Raw genomic sequence first — 27081 nt, forward strand, 5'->3', positions numbered from 1 at the left:
AACAAAAACATAAAGTGGGGAAAGGACACCCTTTTCAACAAATGATGCTGGGATAATTGGCAAGCCACACATAGGAAAATGAAACTGGATCCTCATATCTCACCTTATACAAAAATAACTCAAGATGGATTAAGTACTTAAATCTAAGACCTGAAACTATAAAAATTCTAGAAGATAACATTGGAAAAACTCTTCTAGACATTGGCTTAGCCAAGGATTTCATGACCAAGAACCCAAAAGCAAATGCAATAAAAACAAAGATAAATAGCTGGGACTTAATTAAACTAAATAGCTTTTGCACAGCAAAAGGAACAGTCAGCAGAGTAAACAGACAACCCACAGAGTGGGAAGAAATCTTCACAATCTATACATCTGACAAAGGACTAATATCCAGAATCTACAATGAATTCAACAAATCAATAAGAAAAAAACAATCTCATCAAAAAGTGAGCTAAGGACATGAATAGACAATTCTCAAAAGAAGATATACAAATGGCCAACAAACATGTGAAAAAATGCTTGACATCACTAATGATCAGGGAAATGCAAATCAAAACCACAATGTGATACCATCTTACTTCTGCTAGAATGGCCATAATCAAAGAATCAAAAAATAGTAGATGTTGGCATGGATGCTGTGAACAGGGAACATTTCTATGCTGCTGGTGGGAATGTAAACTAGTACAACCACTATAGAAAACAGTGTGGAGATTCCTTAAAGAACTAAAAGTAGAACTACCATTTGATCCAGCAATCCCACTGCTGGGTATCTATCTAGAGGAAAAGAAGTCATTATATGGAAAAGATACTTGCACATGCATGTCTATAGCAGCACAACTCACAATTGCAAAATCATGGAACCAACCCAAATGCCCATCAGTCAATGAGTGGATAAAAAAAACTGTGGTATATGTATATATACGATGGAATACTACTCAGCCATAAAAAGGAATGAATTAATGGCATTTGCAGTGTTCTGGATGAGATTGGAGACTATTATTCTAAGTGAAGTAACTCAGGAATGGAAAACCAAACATCGTATGTTCTCGCTTATAGTGGGAGCTAAGCTATGAGGATGCAAAGGAATAAGAATGACACAATGGACTTTGGGGACTCAGGGGGAAAGGGGGAAAGGGGGTGAAGGATAAAAGACTACAAATAGGGTGCAGTGTATACTGCCTGGGTGATGGGTGCACCAAAATCTCACAAATCACCACTAAAGAGCTTACTCATGTAACAAATATTACCTGTTCCCCAATAACCTATGGAAATTTAAAACAAAAGAAAAATAATGAGTCAAATTATCTTTCTTCACTGATGATATGATTATATACCTAGAAAACCCTAAAGACTCTATCAAAAGGCTCCTAAAACTGATAAATGACCTCCGGGAAAGTTTCAGGACACAAAATCAATGTACACAAATCAGTAACATTTCTATACAACAATAGCATTCAAGCTGAGAGCCAAATCAAGAACATAATCTCATTTTACAATAGCCGCTCCAAAAAAAACACCCCCAAAAAAACAAACCTAGGTACACATCTAGTTAAGGAGGTGAAAGATCTCTATGAGGAGAACTACAAAATGCTGCTGAAAGAAATCATAGACAACACGAACAAATGAAAAAACATTCTATGCTCATGGATTGGAAGAATCAATATTATTAAAATGGACATAGCCCAAAGCAATCTATAAATTCAACACTATTCCTATCAAGCTACCAATGTCATTTTTCACAGAATTAGAAAAAACTTCTGAAATTAAATATCCATAGCAATCCTAAGCAAAAAGAGTGAAGCAGGAGGCATCACATTACCCAACTTCAAATTATTCTATAAGGCTACAGTAACCAAAACAGCATGGTACTAGTACAAAAACAGACACATAGACCAATGAAACAGAATAGAAAACCCAGAAATAAAGCTGCACACCTGCAACCATCTGATATTCAAAAAAGTTGACAAAAATAAACAATGGATAAAGGACTGTATTCAGCAAATGGTGCTGAGATAGCTGGCTAGCCATAACCAGAAGAAAAAAAAAGGACCTCGACATTTCACCATATATAAAAATTAACTCAAGGTGGATTAAAGATTGAAATCTAAGACCTCAAACTATAAGAATCCTCAAAGAAAACCCAGGAAATACCATTCTGGACATTGGCCTTGGGAAAGAATTTGTGACTAAATTCTCAAAAGTAATTGCAGCATAAACAAAAATTGACAAGTGTGATCTCATTAAACTAAATAGTTTCGGCACAGCAAAAAAAATGATCAACAGATTTAATAGACAACTTACAAAATGGGAGAAAATATTTGCAAACTATTCATCCAACAAAGGTCTAATATCCAGAATCCATAAGTAACTTCAACAATTCAACCAGCAAAAAACCAAACATTCCCTTTAAAAGATAGGCAAAAGACATGAACAGACACTTCCCAAAAGAAGACAAAAAAGTGGCCAACAAACATAATGGGAAAATGCTCAACAGAGAAATGCAAATCAAATCCATGATGAGATACCATCTGACACTAGTCAAAATGGCTATTGTTAAAAAGCCAAAAATAACAGATGCTGGCAAGCCTGTGGAGAAAAGAGAATGCTTATACACTGTTGGTGGGAATGTACGAATTAGTTTAATCACTGTGGAATGCAGTTTGGAGATTTCACATAAAACTGAAAACAGAACTGCCATTTGACCCAGAAATCCCATTACTGAATTATAACCAAAGACAAATAAATCATTCTACCAAAAAGACACATGTACTCATATGTTCATCACAGCACTACTCATAATAGCAAAGACATGGAGTCAATCTAGATGCCCATCAATGTTGGCCTGCATAAAGAAAATATAGTACATGTATACCATGGAATACTATGCAGCCATATAAAGGAATAAAGTCATGTCCTTACCTAAGCAAATTAATGCAGGAACAGAAAACCAAATACCACAGGTTCTCACTTATAAGTGGGAGCTAAGCATTGGGTAAACATGACATAAAAACGGGAACAATAGACACTGGGGCCTCCTAGAGGAAGGAGAGAGAGAGGGGAGTAAGGGCTGAAAAGTACTAGGCTATTGAGTACTAGGCTCACTACCTGGGTGACAGGATCATTTGTACCCGAAACCTCAGCATCATGCTATGTACTCACGTAACAATCCTGCACAGTACCCTGTGAATTGAAAATAAAATCTGAAATTATAAAATAAAATTTCAGAAAGAAAGAATAAAATAAAATAAAATGTCCTAAGGATTTTGTATGTTTAAGAAGGGGGCAAAAATATTAATTCATGTTAGATTTTGATAAATGATATTCAAAAGCTAATTTTAGAATGACTAACAAAGTAAAAATAATATAGCATAAAATTTCCTTACTAGCTGGGTGTGGTGGCTCATGCCTGTAATCCCAGCACTTTGGGAGGCTGAGGCAGGAAGATCACCTGAGGTCAGGAGTTTGAGGCCAGCCCGGCCAACATAGCGAAACCCTGTCGCTACTAAAAACACAAGAATTAGCCTGGTGTGGTGGTGCTCACCTGTAATCCCAGCTACTTGGGAGGCTGAGGAATGAGAATTGCTTGAACCCAGGAGGTAGAGGCTGAAGTGAGCTGAGATTGCACCACTGCACTCCAGCCTGGGTGACAGAGTGAGACTCTGACTCAAAAAATAAAAAAATAAAGCCTGGGCGAGGTGGCTGTTGACTGTAGTACCAGCACTTTGGGAGGCCGAGGTGGGTGGATCACCTGAGGTCAGGAGTTTGAGACCAGCCTGGCCAACATGGTGAAACCCCTTCTCTACTAAAAATACAAAAACTAACTGGGTGTGGTGGCACGAGCCTGTAATCCCAGCTACTTGGGAGGCTAGAGGCATGAGAATCGCTTGAACTAGGGAGGCGGAGGTTGCAGCGAGCCGAGATCGTGCCACTGCACTCCAGCCTGGGCAACAGAGCAAGACTCTGTCTCAAAAAATAAAATAAAATAAAATAAAATAAAATAAAATAAAATAAAATAAAATAAAATAAAATAAAATAAAATAAAATAAAATAAAATCTCCTAACTAGTAGGGGAAAAATTGAATGAGAAAAAAAATGCAATTGATGCAGGGGAGGACAAGAAAGACCATAGAAAAGGTAGGGCAAATACAAACCACTAAATAAAATTGTCAAAATAAATCTAAATATATTAGTAATTTAAATAAATATAAAGACACATAAAAATCAATTATAGTAACAGTGAACATGCGGAAGCTGACATTAAAAACACAGGGCAATTTACAATAACTCCAAGGAAAATGAAATACTTATGCATTTACTTAACATGTGCAAGATCTATATGCTACAAATTACAAAATGCTGATTTTGTGAAAGTCAAAGAAGACTTAAATAAATGAAGAGATATATCATGTTTATGAACTGGAAGACTCAGTTTAGTAATGCTGTCAATTCTCCCCAAATTGGTCTATAGTTTAGTGTAACTCCTATCAAAATCCCAGCAATATTTTTTTCATAGACCGAGGCAAGCTTATGCTAAAATATATATGAAAAGGCACAGGCCCTGAATAGCTAGAGCAATCTTGATAGAGAAGAAAGACAAAGAAATGGGAGAAACTACTCTACCCATATTAAGCCTGGCTATATAATTACTGTAATCAAGAGAGTGTGGTGTGGGCAGAGGGGTAGACACATGAATCAACGGAGCAGCACAGGATACCCAGAAATAGATTCACACAGTCTGCCACACTGACTTGACAAAGGTGCAAAACCAATTTAAAGGAGGAGGAATAACCTTTTCAACAAATGATGCTGGAACAATTGCATATCCATATGGGGAAAAAAACCCTAGATCTAAATTTCATGCTTTATATAAAAAATGAGCTTAAATTGGATCACAGGCTTAAATGTAAAACAAACCTATAAGACTTTCAGCAAAACACATGGAAGAAAGTTGTCAGGATCTGGCGCTAAGCCAGTAGTTGCCAGACTTGACACCAACTGCATGATCCATAAAAAGAAAAACTGATGAATTGGACCTCCCTGAAATTAGAAATGTTTGTTCTGTGAAAGCCATATAAAGAGGATGAAAAGGAAAACTACACACTCAGGAGAAAATATTTGCAAGTCATATGCCTTAGTCCTTTTTTGCTGCTATAACAAAATACCTCAAACTGGGTAATTTATAAAGAACAGACATTTATTTTTCACAGCTCTGGAGGATGGGAAGTCCAAGATTTAATCACCAGCATTTGGTATCTGGTGAGGCCCCCATCTCCACTTTCAACCAAGATGGAGCCCTGTTGCTGCATCCTCTTGAGGGGACAAATGCTGTGTTCTCAAATAGCTGAAGGGATGTAAAGGGCAAAAAGGGCCTAAGCTAGTTCCCTCCAGCTAGGCACCAATTCATTCATGAGAGCAGAATCCCCCTGATTTAATCACTTCCCCAAAAGACCCCACCTCTCAATACCATCATAATGGGGATTAAGTTTCAACACATGAATTTTGGAGGGAATGCCATCTTTCAAATCATAGCACCAAATATCTAGCAAAGAACTTACACATTTTAAATTCTAGAATATGTAAAGAACTCTCAAAACTCAACATTAAAAAAATCTATTAAATGAACAAAAGACATAAACAGACATTTACCAAAGATGATAAAAATAAGCACATGAAAAGATATTCAATATCATAAGCTGTTAGGAAACTTTAAATTAAAACTACAATGAGATACCACTACACACATATCAACATGACTAAGATTTTAAAAAATAACACCACCAAATGCTGGCAAGGATGCAGAGAAACTGGTTCACTCATACATTACTGGTGGGAATGTAAAATGGTAAGCCACTCTGGAAAAGAGTTTAACAGTTGTTTAAAATGTTAAACTTGCAACTACCATACAACCCAATAATTGCACTTCTGGACATTTATGCCAGAGGAATGAAAGTTATTTTAACATAAAAACCCAAATAATTAATGGTTATAGCAGCTTTATTTGTTATTGCTAAAAACTGGAAGTCAACAGATGGTTAAAGAAATTGTGGTATATGCACAACATGGAATTCTACTAAGCAATAAAAATAAATAGTCGGTTGATACATATGACTTGGATGTCTCTAGGGAATTCTGCTGAGTACAATGATATAGTGTTTTATAATCCCCAAAAGTTACACACTACATTATTCCATGCATATAAAATTTGGGGAGTGCCAAATTTTAGAAATGGAGGATCGATTAGTGGTTGCCAGATGGTAGAGATTGGTGAGGGGAGGTAGGGAAGTAGTTGTTCTGGTCTGAATGTTTCTGTCCCCCTGAAATTCTTACGTTAAAATCTAATCACCAGTGAGATGGTATTAGAAAGTGGGACCTTTGGGAGGTGATTAGGTCATAATGGTAGAGCCCTCGTGAATAGGATTAGTGCTCTTGTAGAAGAGATCCCAGAGAGCTAGCTCACCCTTCCCACCATGTGAGGACACAACTACAAAGTACCTTTCTAGGAGACAGGCCCTCTCCAGAAACTGAATCTGCTGATGTATTGATCTCGGACTTCCCAGCCTCCAGAACTATCAGAAATAAATTTGTTATTATTATATAATATAAATTTTTTATAATTTATAATATATAGTATAATTTATAACTTATTTAGTATAATTTCTGTTGTTTATGAGTTTATAGTATTTTGTTATAGCAACACAAATGGACTAAGACAGTGGTGTAGTTATAAAGAGCAACAGGAAGGATCCTTGTTGTGCTGGAACTGTTTAGTATCTTGAACAGTGGTAGTGGATACAAGAATCTACATAGCTGATAAAAGTGCCTAGAGGCCGGGTGGGGTGGCTCATGCCTGCAATCCCAGCACTTTGGGAGGCTGAGGTGGGTGGATCACTTGAGCCCAGGAATTCGAGACCAACCTACAAAATATACAAAAATTAACTGGGCACAGTGGCATACACCTGTAGCCCCAGCTACTCAAGAAGCTGAGGTGGGAGGATTCATTGATCCCAGAAGGTGGAGGCTGTACCTGATTGTACCACTGCATTCCAGCTTGGGTGAGACAACAAGACCCTGTTTCAAAAAAAAAAAAAAATACAAGTATATAGAACTTAACACACACACTCGTACAATTCAAATTGGAAAAATCTAAATAAAATCAGTGAATTGTATTAATTTTCTGGTTGTAATACTATGCTATTATTTTCAAAAATGTTACCGTTGGAGGAAACTGGGCAAAGTGTACAAAGGATCTTTCTGCGTTGTATCTTAAACTGCATATTACTCTACAATTATCTTTTATTTAATTCATTTATTTATTAAGACAGGGTATCACTTTGTCACACAGGCTGAAGGGCAGTGGCATGATCACGGCTCACTGCAGCCTCAACTTCCTTGGCTCAAGTGAGCCTCCCACCTCAGTCTCCCAAGAAGCTGGGACTACAGGTGCACACCACCACACCCAGCTAATTGTTTTGGTTTTTAGCAGAGGCAAGGTCTCGCTATGTTGTCCAGGCTGGTCCTGAACTCCTGAGCTCAAGAGATCCTCCTGCCTCAGCCTCCCAAAGTGCTGGGATTACAGGTGTGAGCCACCCCGCCTAGCCTGTAATTATCTTTAAAAAAGACATTAATTACAACAGCATCCGAAAATATAAAGTGCCTAGAAATGAATCTAACAAACAATGGGTAAGATCCTTATGAAGAAATTATAAAATTTTATTGAAAGAGATAAAAAGACTAAATAAATGAAGTATAAATCTTATCCTCATGGATTGGAAGACAAATTCATAAAGATGTAAAGATTCAATACTATTTCAATCAAAATCCTAACAAGGTTTCTTTGTGGAAACTAACAAGCTGATTCTAAAATTCATATGGAAAGAAAAGAGCCAAGAATTAAACACTACTGAAGAAGAAAAACAGAAGGAAGAGACTTGCCTTACCAGATATCAGGTGTTTTATAAAGCTGGAGCAATTAACACAGTGGCATTTGCACAGAAATAGCAAAAATAACCAACAGTTGAAAACAGAGAACCCAGAACCCAGAAACAGGTTTGATTTTTGACAAAGGTGGTGGGGAAAAGATGGACTTTTTTTTTTTTTTTTTTTTTTTTTTTGAGATGGAGTCTCTCTCTGTTGCCAGGCTGAAGTGCAGTGGTGCGATCTCGGCCCGCTGCAACCTCCGACTCCCGGGTTCAAGCAATTCTCCTGCCTCAGCCTGCCGAAATAGCTGGGATTATAGGCCCATGCCACCACGCCCAGCTAATTTTTGTATTTTTAGTAGACATGGGGTTTCACCATGTTGGCTAGGCTGGTCTAGAACTCCTGACCTCAAGTAATCCACCCACCTTGGCCTCCCAAAGCGCTGGGATTACAGGCGTGAGCCGTTGCACCCGACTGACTGACTGTTTGTTTGTTTTGAGGTGGAGTCTCGCTCTACTGCGCAGGCCAGAGTGCAGTGGCATGATGTCGGCTCATTGCAACCTCTGCCTCCTGGGTTCAAGCAATTCTCCTACGTGTAGCCCCCAAGTAGCTGGGATTACAGGCACGCGCCACCACACCCAGCTAATTTCTGTATTGTTTGTGGAGTTTTAAATTTAATATCACTAAGACAGCTGGTTATTCATGTGGGGAAAAAAGTGAAATTGGGTCTTATTTTTGTGGTTGCCCCATGAAAGGTGAGCTCAATGCCCCCATCCAAAACTGGTTCAGATATCAAGATTGTTGATACCACATTTACAACAAGAAGGTATTTTAAAAGTTTATTACACACAATGAGGCTTTCTGGTCAGAACAGGACAGGCATCCAAGCCAGTTCTAAATGGCTTGAGGGAGGGAGAGAAAAGGGTCTTTGATTTTTAATGTGGTCAGTGATAGGGCCAGTATGAGGGATGATTTGAACTTCTCCTTGGCACCAAGGGAGGGGGCACCTGGGGTTTCTAATCAGCTTTGCCAGATGCTGGGCAAGAGGGAAAGGGGGAGGGGTGGAGCCTGAAAGCTGTTGGTAGTCAAACATCAAAAATGGAATTAGATTATTTATTACAGATCCCTTTTACACACATAAACAAAAAATTCCTTGTGGATTAGGAGTTATATTAAAAGCAAAAGTATGAAACTTTTAAAAGACAAAATTGAAGAATATCTTTATGATCTCAAGGTAGTGAAAGATTTACTAGACATAGCACAGAAAGTACTAACCATAAAGAAAAAGTGATAAATTTAACTCTAGTATATTAAAGTTAAAAACTTCTGTTTAAAAGCAAAACAAAACAAAAAACCATTAAGAGAATAAATAAGTAAACCACACTCTGGGAGAAGTGATTTGTTACACCCTAAAAATGAGCCCCCAAAATTGTACCCAGAATATACAAAGACCTACTATAAGTCACCAGAGAAACACACACAATCCAATAGAGAATGGACAGAAGACTTGAGCAAGCATTTCACAAAGAGGTGGCAGAAGTAACCAAAAGTATAAAAAGATAAAAGATGCTCACAGTAAGATGACATTTCACATCTGTAAAGCTTGCAAAAATTAAAAATTCTGACAATATTAAATGTTAGCGTGAGCCACTAGAACACTTGTACACTTCTCATGGCAGTAGGAATCAGTATAGTCGCTTTGAAAAAGCAGTCTGGCATTAATTGCTTAGTGGATTTGAAGGCATGCAATTCCACTCCTAGGCACGTACCTACAGAAACTCTTGCACATATACACCAAAATACATGTGTAGTAATACTCAGAGTATAGTGACACTATTCATAATAGAGAACAATGAAAACAGCCCAAATGTTTACCAACAGTAGAATGAATAAACTGTGGCATATTCATACAATGGACTATTAGGTGAGAGTTAAAAGTAATGACTTATAGTAGAAGCAATGAAGTTACAAAAGAATGTATACGGTATGATTATCTTTATATAAAGGCCAAAAACATGCAAAATTAAACAACATATTGTTTAGAAGAAAAAATGTGGCAATGCAGTGAGTAAGAACAAGCAAATAAAAACCCCACGTCAGTGTAATGATTACCTTTAAGTAGGGAGGGAAGAAATGAACACATAGGGAACTTCAAATGTTCTTTTTAAAAAAAAAAAAAAAAAAAAAACAAAACAGGAGTAGGTATGTAGGTAATCGTTAAAATGCGATTCTTCAAATGTTAATATATTTTAAATTAATATTTAACTTTAAAAAACAATTTGTATAAAGAAAAATCATTGCTCTTGAATTCTCTTTCTGTTTAGGAAAGGAAAATTTACCATTGTGACATTTTTAGTGTCTTATGAGCTTTTCCTTGTGCATGAGTAAAAATCTAAGAAAAATAGAAAAGGAAATTGAAAAAGAATATTCTTACATATGTGCCAGGCAACAGCAGACAGCCCACCTTTCCCAGGGAGTCTGGCTACACAAAGGCCTATGGAGGCAGAGCAGATTGCCGCATTCACCAAAAGAGCCTCGCTGACCTGCACCGAATTCCCCAGAGGACTGGGCCCTACTTATTTTTACATCATTAGCCCTCTTGGGGCAGGCTGAGGTCATTTCCAATTTGAAAACGACCTTGGATCACAAGCTGAAGTTTTCCATTTGTTTACGCTATTAAACATCCTGAGATATGATTAATAAGTCTTCTGCATAGAGAAATAAGTTTATTTCTAACAAACATGGTCCTTGACATGTTTCTACTATTTATGTTATTGCAGTGAGTTCATTCCACAAACTAATTTTCCAGCACTTTCTAATCTTAGCATTGTTTGGCAGTCTCTTAAACTCAGCAATAAGTTGTCTGATAAACCAATATGCAAGACATGAATTGTTTAGAAAATTATGAATATGTGATTACTTTCATCCTTTCAAAATAATAAAGTCATTGAAAAAATATTTTTTTTCTGTATTTTCCAAATTATCTATTACACTAAGGGAAAAAAACCTTAATTTTTAAAGCTTAACAAGAAATTGTGGGCTAAGATTCCTTAGGGAATCAAATATACATTTCACTTCTTGTAAAAGGGTCTATGAAAGCTGTTATTACTCTTTTAGGAGAGCTCAAGAATAAATAACAGACACATGTATTGAGTTGCTCTGTGTGTATTAAAGACAGTGGTACGCTGGTAAATAGTTAACAACCAGCTATATAGAGAGGGAAATAGCCTTGACTTGATTTGTAGCATTTGCCAATTTCTGTCATGTAAACACTCCCACTGTGGCCAATTTCAAGCTACCAATTTGATATCACTAAATGTCGAGTTGGGGAGAAATGTACCACACAGATACAAAAGATAGATGTAAATAATCTTAAGAGTATAGATGTTAAAATGCAGCACCATAATTAGAAAGTGATGTTTTTGAGCAGTTATTACATTAATATAAATTTTAAATTACAAGTTTATATAATTTGATTGTTAATAATTACTGTGTTTAACAACAGGCTGGCAAAATTCTTGAAGCTGCTTTAGCAAGGCACTAATTAGACCGTACTGGTGGTAATGTACTACCCAATCCAGTACAACAATTAGTAGATGACAGAATTCAATATATGGACATGATTTTTATATAATGTTGTTATATAAATATAATGTTGATGTATACATAACATATCTATAATTTGTTATATGTCAGCATTATATATAATATATATTTTCATTATATCTAATGTTATATATAAAACTTTATATATAATGTTATGTGTGTGTGTGTGTATTCCTACATACTCATGACCTTTATATAGGAAAGAGTCCTGAAATCCTCCTTTAAGGTAATTGCTTGGTAAACTGTATACACAATTCAATCACAGCCATGCTACTGAATTGTTTTGCAGATAACAGACCTAATTTTCAGAATTACCTCTTGGTCCAGCCAGATCAGAGAGAACAAAGCAACACATAATTTCTGGATTCCTAACAAAGTCATCTAGCAGGCCTAAAAGAACTCCAGTATCATTCCCAATCTATCTAGTCAGTGTGTGAGACACAAGGTAGGAAAGGAAAAAGGGGGAAAAGGGAGACTCCCAAAGGATCCCTTCCACAATTAATTATGCAAATCACAAGTAAATTAGACACTAAAATTTTAAGATTGATTGAAAGGCTTGCTCAAATTGCTTTAACTGTGATTCATAAACCAATCACACAAATTCATCTGTTAGGTTGTATAAAAAAATTAGAAAGATGTAGAATGGAATAAGATTACCTTAATTTAAATGTAAAAGACATGGTTGCTGAAGTATGAGTCTCTTATACCATAAGCACTAGCCCATCAGATGTTAACAAAATCTGATATGCAACAGTTTTACATATCCCCTTGTGGGAGAAAGATCAACTTGTGATCTGCTTTATAAATCAGCTACAGTGTTAGAGTTAGGCTACTGTAGCTAAATGGCTTTTAGATATGCTTCCTGTTTTAAGCTACCATATTTACAAATGAAAGCTTTTTCAAACCATGGCTTTTAATATAATTTGCATATTTAGTAATACATTGATTAAAATTAAACACGGATTATTGCAATTTATTTCAGAAACAGATGGGATGCATTAAATGAAAAGCCAGAGTTTTTAAATAGAACAGACTCGCTGGCTGACTACTGATGAATGATGAATATAAAAACTTTGTAAATTGGCAAAAAGAAAAAAAAAGTCCTTTGCGCCGATTTCTTTTCAAGGTTTTCCTGACTAGTGATTCCAGGAAATTAGTAATCAAGTTAATTTAAAATGAATAATTTATATCAAAGGTATGCATCAGCTTAATGAAAGCAGATTTCTCAGAATTAAAAATGCTTCCACAAACTTTGAATCTTCCTTGTCTACAGGGTATGTGTTCTCAGGTTTTCCTAATTATGGATTTGATAGGGTTCACCAGCAGATGGCATTCTTCCATTACATACATTCCTGCTGGATTGCTTTGCATTTACAGTTTCATGAAACTTCTTCACCAGCTAGTGTAAATTAACCATGAATTCACTCAACGGTAGAGATAGCTGGGTTGAAGCATTTGTTTCTGAAATGGCATATTCTTAAAATAGTCTTGGTTGCCCCAAACCTGATTAGATGTTGACAAGTATTTCATTTTTACATTGTTCTCTGTATCCATTGTTTTGTTGAATATCATTCACAAAAGCTAATTTTAGTAGGAATAATGTATAAGTGAATATTAGCCTCTTGTCAGTTATTTCATCAAAAGTAGATCTAAGCTTTTGCCTCATCCCCTCCTCCCATATCAGTGTGATATAATTCAATCAGATGACATTACTATGCTAGTTCAATTATGAAAATAATTTTTGCATATAAGTTTTTCATTTTGTGAAGCACAGGAATTTTCCAAGTTAATTTAGCAAAATCCAGTTTACTTTGCTTGGCTATCCAACACTTCTTATTAACCTAGATAATTAATTCTCAGAATCTCACAAAATTCATGAAGTAGAGAGTTCATTATTTAGTTTTGATACTTTTTTTTCCTTGCTTTTTTTAAGTGGGAAGTAAAAAGGGAATTGCATCTACAACATTTAAATAATGTTTCTATTATTAGAAATCTTCATTGGACAATACAGAAATCTTATTAATATATAGGCTCAAATTCAGCAACTTCAACTTGAATGGGATTGCTGAAAGTGAACTTGAAATAAAGTCAGACTAAGACCAAATATTTCCTATTTAATATAGATGCTAATTATAAATTCTCAGAATAAGCTAAACTGGGCAGTTTACAACACAAATTGTTCACTTCATAGTGAATCAATGACATACTTTTCAAAGCAAGAAATCAAATGAAAACTATTTTTATATAATGTTTCTGATGATTTTATATCTTAAAAACACATGTGTTTTCTTTTGAAACAAAAAAAGATTCTTTCATCAAAATCCTGATTGCAGTAACAATATGCTATAGAGGTTTTATTTTGTTATATTTTGTTTATAAATGTAAAATATTTCCAAAAATTACCTCCAGCTTTTTCAAAGTTTGATTAAATACTCAAAAGTACTTAAAAGGTCAGTTCCCAGTTTCACTGCTATGGATTACTCTAACATGAAATGTTTGTCACCTATTGTAAGTTGTGAAAATCCCCCTGTATCCAATGTGTTTTGTTTGGATTGAGATGGCATGCAGTTGATGGCTGTGACCTTCATGGTGGCTTAGATCCCTGGCTGGCACTGATTTTTGATTTAGTGCCGATCTGCTGCGCTTGTCACAGGCTGCAAGGTGCTTTCCATGCACTAATGGAACAGCTCAAGGGCAGAGGGGCCCTGTAAATGTCTATCTCTCACCAACCACGGGCTAAATAGAGAGGTGAGTTTTCTACATGTGAATGACAGACTCTGAGATTACTTGTAGAAGGTAATACAAAGTTTTAAAACCTGCACAGACTTGGCGAAAATAAGAAGCATTTGCAAAGTGCCAACTCTAAGGTTATTCTGCCTGCTAATGAATATGTATCTGCACTGTTAAAATGGAATATTTAACACAAATACCGATAATATATCTTCATTTGGTGGCAGGGAACTAACAATCAGTTGATGTGTCCTTTGTTTCAACTGTAGTTGTTAATAAATTCTGTTATTTAATGATGTCTTCAACAGAAAATTGCATATGTCCAAACTTTTTCCTTCTAACACAAAATGACATGATAATTGTTCTAGAAAGAGAGGAATTTAGAGACAAAATATAACATCTTGGCCTATGCATCATATTGGCTAGGCATCTTGACTACTAAAGGGTATTCCATACATGCAGCAAAACAAAAACAAATACAGGTAAATTTTGCCTTTTAAAATCACTTGGGCCTTGGTGAGAGTAATTCATACCAAGAGGCTAGTAAACATATTATTAGTGCGTCTGTAAAGTGACCAAATCCTATTTATCCTTTAAGACTCAGCTCAAATGCTGTCCCCTCCAGATGCAATTCCTGATTCTCCCAAGAAGTAAGATCTTCCGTGAAATTCTACAATATTTGATTTGTGCATTCCTTAGTTATTGCTGTTTATCTTGTATGAGGGACACATTTTATCTCATTTCCTGCAATAGACTGTAAATTCCTTAAGAGCAAGTACCGCATCTATTTTATCTTTACAAACATCTCCTTCCCTAGCGCTCAATACATGTTTGTTGAATGAATGAATGATAAATGCATATCTACAACATGGTAGCAGTCTCCAGGTTGATGAAATTTTAAAGTTATGAGTATTTGTGGTGATATTATCATTAACATTAATATCTGGCTGACTTCCTGAATCTCCACTTCAATCACCACATACAGGTTACGATGGTCCCTCTCACATTCAGAAGTCTCACTTTATATATAATTTCTGATTTCTCTCTGAATCTGCCTCCCACCAGCAAGACCACATGCTATACCAAATTCTCATCTAAGACCCCTCTACAGCCAACCCCACCAAAACAGCACTCCCCTACACATAATACTCAGATCTCTCAATATAGAACAACCTTAGTGTGCCTCATCTAACCACAGTGTAAGTCACAGGATATAAACTTCATCCATGTCTTGAAGTATTTGAAGTCATTCCATGGGAAGTTGCCTTCTCAGTAAAAGGTACATGCAGCTTGCTTTTATGGCCCTTTGATTCATACATTAATTCACCAACTCATTACTGAGTGCTTACTATGTACCAGGCACTAGAAGGTAATTACGATACAGTGCTGTGTACTCTCACGAGGAACCGGGCAGTGTGCCAGGACATACTGCAGACACTGGAGAAACATGGTACTTCTTGGATGGGGAATTTCAATGATTTAAAACATTATTTTTATATTAAAATAAAGTAAGAAATAGAATGCAAAATTTTCATGAATTTTTAAAATATAGAATTCAAAAAATTCCTACTTTCAGTAGACTGCTTTTGATCCCCCTGAGTGTGAATGCATTCTCTTCTGCCATTCTAGGTAGGTCAGTTGAAAAATGTTGATAAGTTGTCTGAAAGAACACATGCTTTGGAATAAGTCTTGATTAGAATCTCAATTATTCCTCTTCCTCATTATATATCTTTGGGTGAGTTATTTAATCACTATGAGTGTGAATGTTCTCATCTATAAAATATGCATAATACCTACCTTTTCAGGCAATTGTAAAGATTAAATAAATACATGTAAAGTATAAAGACAGCACCAAACATAGTAGGTGGTTCTGTAGGAACTTCATCCATCCCCTAAAAGAGACCTACCAGATCCTTATGTTGTTATTTCACATCTCTGCCATTTCAACTCCTTGCACCGGAACCACTGAATAACTGATAGAAAGGTTAACTGTCAAATTGCATTCTTGGCCAGACACAGCGGCTCATTCCTGTAATCTCAACACTTTGAGTGGTGGAGGCAAGAGAATTGCTTGAGGCCAGGAGTTTGAGACCAGCCTAGGCAACATATTAAGACTCTGTCTATATAAAAAACTAAACGAATTGCATTTTTTCACAATAAATTCATATTTTACATGTGGAACATCCCATTAAGACTTCATGGACAGCGTTCAGATGATCAACATAGTTTTGTCACAACTTGTAAAACTTTCAAAAGCCTCTAGTTCAATCATCTCACGTTCTAAATGACCTAACTTCTTTGTCTCCTTTCCTGGCTGAAATCCTTTTACTGCGCAATGGTAGATAGGTATAATATGAGGTTCTATTCTTAACACTCATCTTTTATCTCTCTGTACATATTCCCCTTGGTAAGCATAGCCACTCTAATGGCTTCAACCACCAACTCTATCCCAGTGACCCTAAAATCCTTATCTCCAGTCCTGACCTTTGCTTTGTGCTGCAGTCTTCAGCTTCCACCCACCTGCAGAATATGCACTGTTAAGTGAACTACCATATACTCAAACTCAACAGTCCCATAATGTATTTCAAACTATCTTTTCTTCTATCAAAGTAGAAACTTAGAAGGAATTTTTGAGTATTTTCCCCTTTTAAATCCCCTATAGTCAATTTATCACCAATTTCTTTTCTCTCTTTAATGTGTCATTCAAATTTAAATAGTCCTTTCTACTCCCATTGCCATGATTGTACTACAGGGCCTCATGACCTCAAGCCTGGAATGAGGCAGTGGGCTCCCAGCTCAGTACTTCTCATATCCTAGATGCAGAGCACAATAACCTGAGGGAATTTTGCAAAACCACAGATTCTCAGGCTGCCCCAGGCTTACTGAATCAGAAGACTTGGGGGATAAAGCTCTCCAGTTGATTCTCACACACAACTAGACTTGGAACCATGATTTCAATTGATTTCATGTCTACAGTCTTTCCACTTTCAACACATACAGTGCATTTAAATACCAATTTTATCATGGTGCATTTCTAATGGTGTCCTACTGCCAGGCACGTTAAGCTGAATGCCCTTTGCCAATTCCTAAAAGTCTCCATAACCTAGCCCCACCTTACTTTTTCAGATCTAATTTTTAGTCTGACAAGGACAGTCTTCTAATCTTATTCTCGTGTCAATTCCTCCATTCATTTTCCCTGAGCTGGGAGCCCCCTGAATCATTCCAACTTGAGGTCATGAGGCCCTGGACTGCAATCATGGCAATGAGAGTAGAAAGGACTATTTAGATTTGAATGACATATTAAAGAGAAAGAAATTGGTGATAGATTGACTATAAGGGATTTAAAAGGGAAAAGACTCAAAGATTCCTTCCCCATCTACCCACCAATATAAACCTCCTCCTTCCTTCAAAGATGAGCCCCATCTGACCTTCTTACCTAGTGTCCTCTAGCCATACTCTTCCCTCTACATTTTTTCCTTCTCTGCCTCCTATTGTGATTTAAGTCAGTACCATGCTGTTTTATACTTCTCCTACTACATTTTTATAAATCTTCTCTCCATAGACAGAGTGTAAATGTCATGAAAAGAAGAACCAAAAATTTGTTTTCATGTTTCTCCTGATAACATCTGAAGGTGTATTGTAGGTATTCAACACATTATTGTAATTAATTAAAACCCATTGACTTCTTACTGCATAGCAGATATATATATTGACTCATTTAATTCTCATAACAACCCTATGAGGATTTTAAAATAAAACTCCTTGTTTAGACAAGGAAATAAACATAGAGAGGTGAAATAATTTACCTCTCTATGGTCAAGACTGCTCTGGTTTGAATTTCAGTTCTTCCTCTTGTGAGCTTAATACCATTCATAAGAGGAAGCATTGAAATTCAAACCTGGGCAGTCTTTCCAAAGCTTATTGTCTTAGCTAACACACCATGGAATCATAGAACATGAGCAGCAGAAAGGGCTTATGAGGCCATCTAACTCATCTGCCTAGAACTAAGCTATTTTACTATTTACTAATCTTTATGTGTTTGTTTAGTTAAAGGCAACTGTTCTCTACTCACTGTCCTGTATGTCGTTTAGGTCTCCCTGGGTCTCTATTTATATTGATACTACATAACCTTTTAGATAACTCTTAATTTATGCATATTTGTTGCAGCGATGAGTACCTAAACCATTCTAGGACAAAAAAAGATGCAAATAAAAATTCCCCCTTACCCAAACTGTCCATTCTGAAGGCTATTAAAGCAAGCCAAGACACATATTTCATTAGAGAGTTTCCTTTTCAATATTTCTGGGCCTTTGCTGCCATTTTTTAAAGAAAGGGATTTATTTATTCAGTGAGTTTGAGGGTGTGGTGCATACATATGCACGCTTGTGTGGTGGGGGGCAGAGGGATTAAAAGAATATGCTTTTGAAAGTAGAGTGGACATCAAAATTTGTTTATGTCAGGATAATAAGTGACTTGTTTTTTATGTTGCCCACTTCTTCGGACACACAGACCTGCTATGCCTCAGGGTGCGTGAATTGACTGCAATCAAAGTCTGTGCACATGTCTGGGCCTGGGGGTCTGGTTTTCCTAACAGTCAGCATGATCTGAGGGGCACCAGAAGTCACTAGAGTTAAATGGCACTCCATGTGATGGAATGAGACACTTCTATCAGTTCATGTTAATGGGAAAAAATATGTTCCAACATTCATAGGAGAGCCAATATGGTAGTACATGAACCAACTTTCTTGTCTTGAACTACACACTGAAAATTTGAGCCCTATTAAAATGCTAAAAACAAATGAGGTAGAGCGACAGAGTCCATTGCTCTATTTACACTGATATCGGCTTCCACATACTTATTAGAGGTTCTACTAGAACAGGTAATAAGTAGCTCTAGATTTTTCATGCTTTGCAGTTTTGGAATAGCATGAATAATTGAAATCCACAGATAATACAAAAATTTAATTTTAGTCAAGGTATTAAGCCATCTCTTCCTCAATGGAGCTTTTATTATATTAGCTAACAAACAGAATAAGTGACTGGCTTGCATTTCAGCATTTAGTTTTTTCTATACATCTCCTAGCATTCTTGGGTAGGTGTCATTAAGCCACCAGAGAAAAAGATTTGCACTCTTGGCTTGTTCACTGTGATCAACTACTGCCTGTACATTTGCAAGAAGGCTGGCTGATGCTGAGGTTGAAAAAAGAGCACCACTTCCATCCTCACAGAGTTACTTGACCCATGTACATACCAACATTACAGGGTTAGTGCAAACCCCTCATTCTCAAGCAGTAGTACAAACACTGCATCAACAGAACTATTTTTAATTAGTAATAAATGTTATCTCTACAAACTAAGTACTGAAGTAAACACAATACAATTACCCTAAACCAAATAGTAAAAAAAAAAAAAAAAAAAAATTAAAACATGGAACCAATGCTATTCTGAATCACCTAAGAAACCTGTTTAAAATGAACATTCCCCAAATCTTTCTCTAGAGAGTCTGACTTAATAGGTTTGGGTCCAAGTATATGCATTTTAATAAGTAGCCCTTCTTCTTCCTTTATTCATCCTCCTACTCCTCCCGTCTCATCCCGACCCCAGCCTCATCCCACCATAGTGATTCAAGTATGAAGGGTCCATGGACCACATGTTGAAAATCAGTGCCTAGGGAATGAAAAAAAAAAAGAGTTGGATATCCCTGCCATTGGTTTCATAGCAAGAGATCTTTTTTTTTCTTGTTCCACAACCCCCAGCTGAGTTGAGTCTATATCAGCTATACTGACTTAGAGACCATGTTAAAGATCCAATACACACTTCCTCTAAAGCAAGAACTGATGAAAGTGTTTGCTTCCAGGGTATATAGAGCTTTAAGATGTAGCCTTGAGGGCTGTTTAAGGGCAGTATCAGGCTTATGGATAATGAAATGTACAAGATAGTGATACTGTCCAGCCAGAATACTATTCTGCCATGCTCTGATCCAGGCAGAGCAAACAGCTGCTGAGGCCAAACCACGACAAGGGCTATTTTTGCCTGTGACATTGGAGAATTTATTCAAGAACAGTTCCCCTTTGTGCCAGGATTTTCACTGTGCGGCTGTAAAGGTTGCTAAGTCCTTGGATCATCTGTTGTTTAAACTTTCTCAAATGTCCAAAATAACCCATTCTTCCTGAGATTATGAACCTGTATGAGAGCTCTGCTAGCTGGGAATGAAATTGCTTGTCCCTATTTCTTCTGCTCTATATACTTTGAAGAGCAGTCACTTTGCAGTAACTGTAAGTTATCTAAATAGCAACTCCTCGCACAGGTAATATGATTTGGGGGAGAAAATAATTTCCCCTAAAGGCCACATAGTTCACAAGGGTCTTTGTGATGACTAAACAATATAGTGCCCATGAAAGCATTCTGCACACTCTAAGATGCCATGGAAACACAAGAATTATTAACTAGTATGTGGTAGATAGGAGTCAAATGATAAATATCCAACCAGGAAGGTTACTGTAACACAGGAGTGAATCAACAGACTATCCTCTCCCAGAAAAGCTCTTTGTGTGTCTGGCTTCCCACACCTAATCTGGAAGTACAAACAGTCTGTGCTACGTGTGCCGGATTTCTGTGGACTGAGGCAGAAAAACCCTAAGCAAGAAGAGAAAATTGTTTTGTATTCATTTCAGCAACAAGAGACTGCAGTGTCACAGAGTGGTCCCAGTGCAGGGACATCTCATCAGACGTCACCCCATCGCTGTGCCCTGCCTTTCTCTGGTTCTTTCCCACTGTTCAAGCACTTTGACACTTTGTGGATTATGCTTTCAGGTTCTTTCATCAATTTAACATTAAAAGTCCTGTGAAATATTAATGAAATAATGTTTTTAAAAAAGAAAAATGTTCCTACAATACTGCAACATTTTAATGCCTCATTAAAATCATTAGCAATGCTAATACTAAGGAACTTACTTCATCTTTCAAGGAGCCAAAAAATAAATCATAATAAAATGTTTGTTAATGTTACATCTGGAGAAATAAATTATACAATGCCTTTCTATATGGGCTTTACATAGTTTAAAGATGACACACTAAGGTCATATTATTAAGTACATGCAACTAATTTTTTCCTATGGAAACTCATATTGTACTTTTTATAATATTCATTAAATGCTGTGAGTATTGTTTGTATTTTTCATTTATGAGAAAAATATACCGTATGCCTATCAACCACCCAGAGCTCTCATGGAACTCAGGTTGCAAACAATGACATGCTTCACTGACCTGGATGACTTACAAAAGCCATTTATATTCAGTACTCTTATTTATGCTATCTTTAAAAATGAGTAAGAGACATATATTAATAGCAAGAAACCAGTAGAATGATTGCATCACTACCCATCTCCAGACTTATTGCAACACTTCATTTTCCATCAGTTCAACTGACATGGGAATGTAAATGTCGTATATAATAGTCATATAAAATTTTACTACAGAAGTTACTAAGGCAAGTGTGACAGTTTTCTTCTCTTTGTTGACCAACTTTCCATTGGAAAACAAAGGGGTTTAATGCATGGCAAAGTTGTAGCTAGTTTGTTATCAAAGGAAACCTCTCACCATTGACTGGGGTGAATGGCACAGCATGTTCTTCTTAAATACATCTACATCTCCTGTGGCTATTGCACAGTACAGTATAAGCTCAGCATACAAGCACATCCAGCAGATCCTGGGAACTTCTTTTCTCTCTGAGAATAAACTGGTATTTAGTCATGTACGTCAAGACAATTATTTTTTAGAAACAAATAAAACAAAAACTCTAATCCTATAACTGTCCCAATACCTTCCTAGATAAAAATAAGTATCAGGAACCCAGCCAAATCCAGTCTCTCCAACACAGCTATTTGATATTTTATTCTATTGAAAACTAATTGTTGCTAACAGTGTGACTTTCACCTGAGCCTGATTTCCCTCAGGTTCTCCATCATAGGCTATACTATTGAATTTTTCTTTAGGGGTGACTATTAACCATAGTTTAATATTCTCATTAAAATATATCATACAATGCCTATTTATTATTTACTATTAAAAATTATCATTATCATCTAATAATTATATGACTAAAACATGATTCAATGGGAAGAATTGCAGGAGTTAGGAACAGTTGCTTACAAATGAAACTAGGGTACATTATTTGGAAAATGCAATACTTATCCAGAAGGGAAGTGGAGAAGATTATGCTTTACTATATATATTAGGTCATCTAGTATGTCCTACATCACAGATGTTGCTAATTTTTACATTAATATTCTAAGATATAGTGTTGAAAGTTTATATTTGCATAGCTAAGCCATTTTTAAAAAAATGTAATCCTAAATTCTTAAAATCCAAGGATTTAAAGGTGCAAGTTCCAAATCAGAGAACTTAGTGTGGCACTTTCCATTCAAATTATCATTAGGTTTAGATAGACAGTTAGTTAAAGGCTTTTAAATCATATATTTCAAACATAGGCAAGCTCTAAAAATGACAAAATCATTTGTTAAAAACTTCAGTTACATCTTCCTTAGTCATCCATCTCTTCAGAGAGCAAATTAATTGTTCCAATCTAGTAAGCAATGAAAGAAATCATCGACAAAGGGTGAAATATGAACATAAATGGTAAGTTTTGAATTTACCCTATTTATCTTGAATGTAAGATCTCTTGACCCACTAAAACTCAGTTCACAGTGTTTTATGAAAAATAATGGCTGAAATTGAATGTCTTAATTTACATTTAATGCAATTAAGAATGGTTTAAATTATGACTGATGAACAGCACACACAGATGTCAGTCAGTTTCATCAGAATAAATTGAAGTCAGTGTCAATGAATGCTCCACTGATAAATCCCACTTTACATAAAATTAATAAAAATAAGGAAATATAATCCTTAACTAATTGCAAAATGGTCCGGAATTCCCCTAAATTTTGGGGGGAAAATTTATGTAGCTGAGAAAACTACAGTATTGTTTGGAAAATATTGGGTCATTTTTAATACATAATACCCAAATATTCCATCAGCAAGCAGCCCTAAAGAGGTATAGAACACAAACTTCTACACTGAGTTATGCAAATATTCATGGCGGGAGGGAAAAAAATCCACCAGGAAAAAGAACAGGAGGAACATAGGAGGAGGATGCAATTAAAAATGAAGATGAGGAAGAGAAAGAGGGGAAGACACTGGAATAACCTTTCTGAAACAAAAGCACTGGGCAGTACTTTTTTCAGGTTGCTGCACTCCCAAGTTTCCTCAGCTAGCCTCAAGCATAACACTGCATTCACATCTTGCTTCATAAAACTGCTCCAAGTTTTTGCTGGAAATGATGCCCTCCTTCAGTGTTTTAATGCCAAACTAGGAAGACTTTGGTCTTGACTGCTGGCTGGATTCTTAGCTCACAGAGAGCACTCTCTTCCTCCATGGTAGATTCTGAAGCTTTGTGGATTGGAGCAGATGTTGCTGCTTTTGAAGTTAATAGAAACTTTATGGACCATTTTTCACTCTCTCGTCCAGGAGCAAGTGTCAACCGTAGTTTTATTCAAAACCTGAATTCTTGGCTCAGGCACTAATTGCTGTTAATGTGTTTAAATCCCAATTCTCAGGGAAAGGGGGAAAGTGTTTTTCCAATGGAAGAAATTGGGTTAATATTTGCATTCTTAGTGCCTGGATAAGCAAGAAAAATGCTAGGCTTCTGAGCCACACAATTCTGCAAGCAACCACGGAAGGCCTAAAAACCACGTTTCTCTAGGCTTAGTGGGTTAGTGTGTTCAGGATGAAACCAATCTTGAAAAACCAAAGAATATGAAAGGGAGTTAGGAAGATAGGCTAAAAAAAAGGGAGAAGAAGGTTCACTTTATAAAAGCTATCTTAGTAACGACCACTATTCCTATTGCTGCTTGTACAGCACTTTGGAACTAACAATGCACATCCATTGTATGATACACTACTTTTTCATGTCATTCTACCCACTTCGCAAAAGAGAAAAGTACTCAGAAATTAAGAGACACAGCAGGAAGTGGCAATGCTGAAACTTGAATCAAGGTCTTTTGGCTCCAAATCTTGTGTTCAAATTACATGTATCTGTTCTAGCTATGTGAATTAACAGCAATTTTAAAAGCTCTCAAGAGTATTCAGTAATTGTTGCTGCTTTACAAGAGCTATAATTCTAAAAAATGTTACTTCAAGGGCCTTTTATTTTGTTTCACGTTGTGGACTTTAAACCCAATTTGGAACTCCTACTATCTAATAAATAGTGTTGAGTCATTATAGACATTTCCCAATGACAATTTTTTACCTAACAATTTCCTGACATTTTTTCAAGAATAAATGAAGCCAAGATCAATCTTAAGGACAGTGGATGAATAGCCAGTCATCCAATGTACTGAAAAGTTTGCTTATCAAGACCACCTTCCCCACTATAGTGAAATTTTACCATTTCCAAAACAATGATTTGTCTCAAAGTGGTCAATTTCATTAAACAATCCTTCAAGCTAGTTGTTTGGCATTTATTTCTCAAAATACCTGTTATGGATTGAGTTTTTCAGGAACCCAAAGTATTTTATTTCATTTTGTATCTTTCATTAGATCAGTCTATCTTTCATTAGATCAAACCCAACGGTGATGTATAAAACAGGGTCTCTGCAATATGCACAACGGAGTGAGCAGTTTCTATGTATTTCCTATGCTTTCTCTTCCCTTCTTCAAATCTCCCTCTCCTAGCATACCAATCAAAGTAAAAGAGCATGTACTCATTCACTCACAATTGTACATGATGCCACAGAGCCACAATTCAGACATGTCACTACCCTCAAAGAACTTACAAGGTTCCTTCCTCTCCAGGACAGATCTGTTTTCACTACTTTTGCCCAGCTACCTGCAAGGCTTAGGGGATCCAGAAACTAATGGTATATTAAGAGACAAAACTAGGCACAAGTCAAGTACTAGGCCTGACCTAATTTACTACCAGATTCTCTCTCTCTCTCTCTCTCTTTATTTTTTTTTTAATTTTACTTTAAGTTCTGGGATACATGTGCTGAATGTGCAGGTTTGTTACATAGGTATACATGTGCCGTGGTGGTTTGCCACACCTATCAGATTCTCTTAATATAATTAGTTTCTGAAAACATTACCAGAACATTTATAGACTCCACTCATACCGGAATTAGAGGTTTTTCAACTTTATTCTCCAAATATGCAGAAGAGACCACAGAAGAATGAAATATGAAGCTTATCCCAAATTGCAAACTCTGCTAGATCTTCCCCTACTAACTCTTCATGGTACCTCCTTTTTCTTTCCATAGGCTGAAGAACTGTTCTGCTTGCAGCCACGGAATTTCCAACTATAGCCACTAAAGTATGCACAGCATCAGCTTCAAAGCTCAGAAGTGCCCCCCAGATTTATAGAAAGGGGGAGAGATGAGGAGGGGGAAGGAGATTAAAAGAGACTAACTTCAGAAATTTCCGACAGAACTAGATGTGGTCTAGACAGCATCAAACACACTACTCCACCCCTTTCCAATACCTCTGCCTCAACAGCTCTGTAAGCAGTATTTGAGTAAGTTCATGAGAGACACTATAACCTCTGTTAATTGACCTGATTTTCATATCCACCATCACAGGCAACTTTTCTAGAAGAGAGAACCCTGGTCTCATTATTGCTTGCTTCCTCCCCACTTTTCCCCATCTGCCCCAGGTAAGAGACTTTTTACAACAAGTTCCCTTTCAATTAAAATTCCTGGCTGGGTGCAATGATTCACGCCTGTAATCCCAGCACTTTGGGAGGCAGAGGCAGGCGAATCACCTGAGGCCAGGAGTTCCAGACCAGCCTAGTCAACATGGTAAAACCCTGTCTCTACTAAAAATACAAAAATTAGCCAGGTATGGTGGCACGTTCCTGTAATCCCAGCTACTCAGGAGGCTGAGGGAGGAGAATTGCTTGAACCCGGGAGGCGAAGGGTGCAGTGAGCCGAGATCGCACCACTGCACTCCAGCCTGGGCAACAGAGCGAGACTCCATCTCAAAATAAATAAATAATAAATAAATAAATAAATAAAATTCCTATATGGGCAGTGATTGTATTTAGCAAACTGGTTTCTGATCTCACCTCTTATTCCACACCAAGCTCCTGGAGACATATCAGGTGTGCAGCCAGCAGTCAAGAGGGAGGAGGTCAGACATTATAAGTGTTCTGTGTGAGTGACGTATAAGCCAATAAACACTATGTAGGTTTTTTATGTATATTTTTTTCATTTGACTTCAAAGGATCATTACTCAATGTTATTTCTCATATTGAAGACTCTAAGGCTAATGCTTTGACTTGATTTTAAAGACTGAATTTTTTCTGCTGGTATAAATAGTATGGACACAGTAAAAGTACTTGAGAGAGCCTAATGAACCATTTCTTACACCCCATTACCTTTAGTCTGATATGACTGAGAGTGCAGGCACTAATTATCCTCTCTTTCACAGACAGCGACATAGATCTACAGTAGGTCTTAAAACACAATTTCCCATACAACCCAACATTTCCATGCATAATACATTCCTGTATTTTTCTCCTTGTCGTAGTTGAAACAAGAAAGTCCAGGTTCTTGTCTTCCTACAACTTTGTCTAAACATAAAGGACATAGAGTTAACAATACATCTTAATCTCCAGAGACCAAACATAAAATTATGCACAACTAGAAATGAGGCGTTAAAAACAAATTACAAAAATCACATTTCATAAAAGCCTCTATCCATGGGAGAACAACCTAAAATGCATTCAGAAAATTTAAAAAAAAACAAACATATCTTATTTCCTACTGAGATATA

At 36.5% G+C, this 27081-nt stretch overlaps 1 protein-coding gene across 3 annotated transcripts in view; it reads right to left on the bottom strand.

Annotated features, from left to right (window-relative positions):
* The window catches only part of WDR41 (WD repeat domain 41), a 189645-nt gene that overhangs the window by 117079 nt on the left and 45485 nt on the right, over window positions 1-27081 (bottom strand). The window contains exon 2 of one of the 3 annotated variants that reach the window (XM_047417349.1): window positions 6493-6566. The exons of the other annotated variants lie outside the window; for them this stretch is intronic. The gene's annotated coding sequence lies outside the window, so the exon portion shown is untranslated. The remainder of the gene's footprint in view (window positions 1-6492; window positions 6567-27081) is intronic. 3 annotated transcript variants of the gene reach the window in all.

This window comes from Homo sapiens, chromosome 5 (assembly GCF_000001405.40).
Source record: "Homo sapiens chromosome 5, GRCh38.p14 Primary Assembly".
In the NCBI taxonomy this organism is placed as follows: Eukaryota; Metazoa; Chordata; class Mammalia; order Primates; family Hominidae; genus Homo; species Homo sapiens.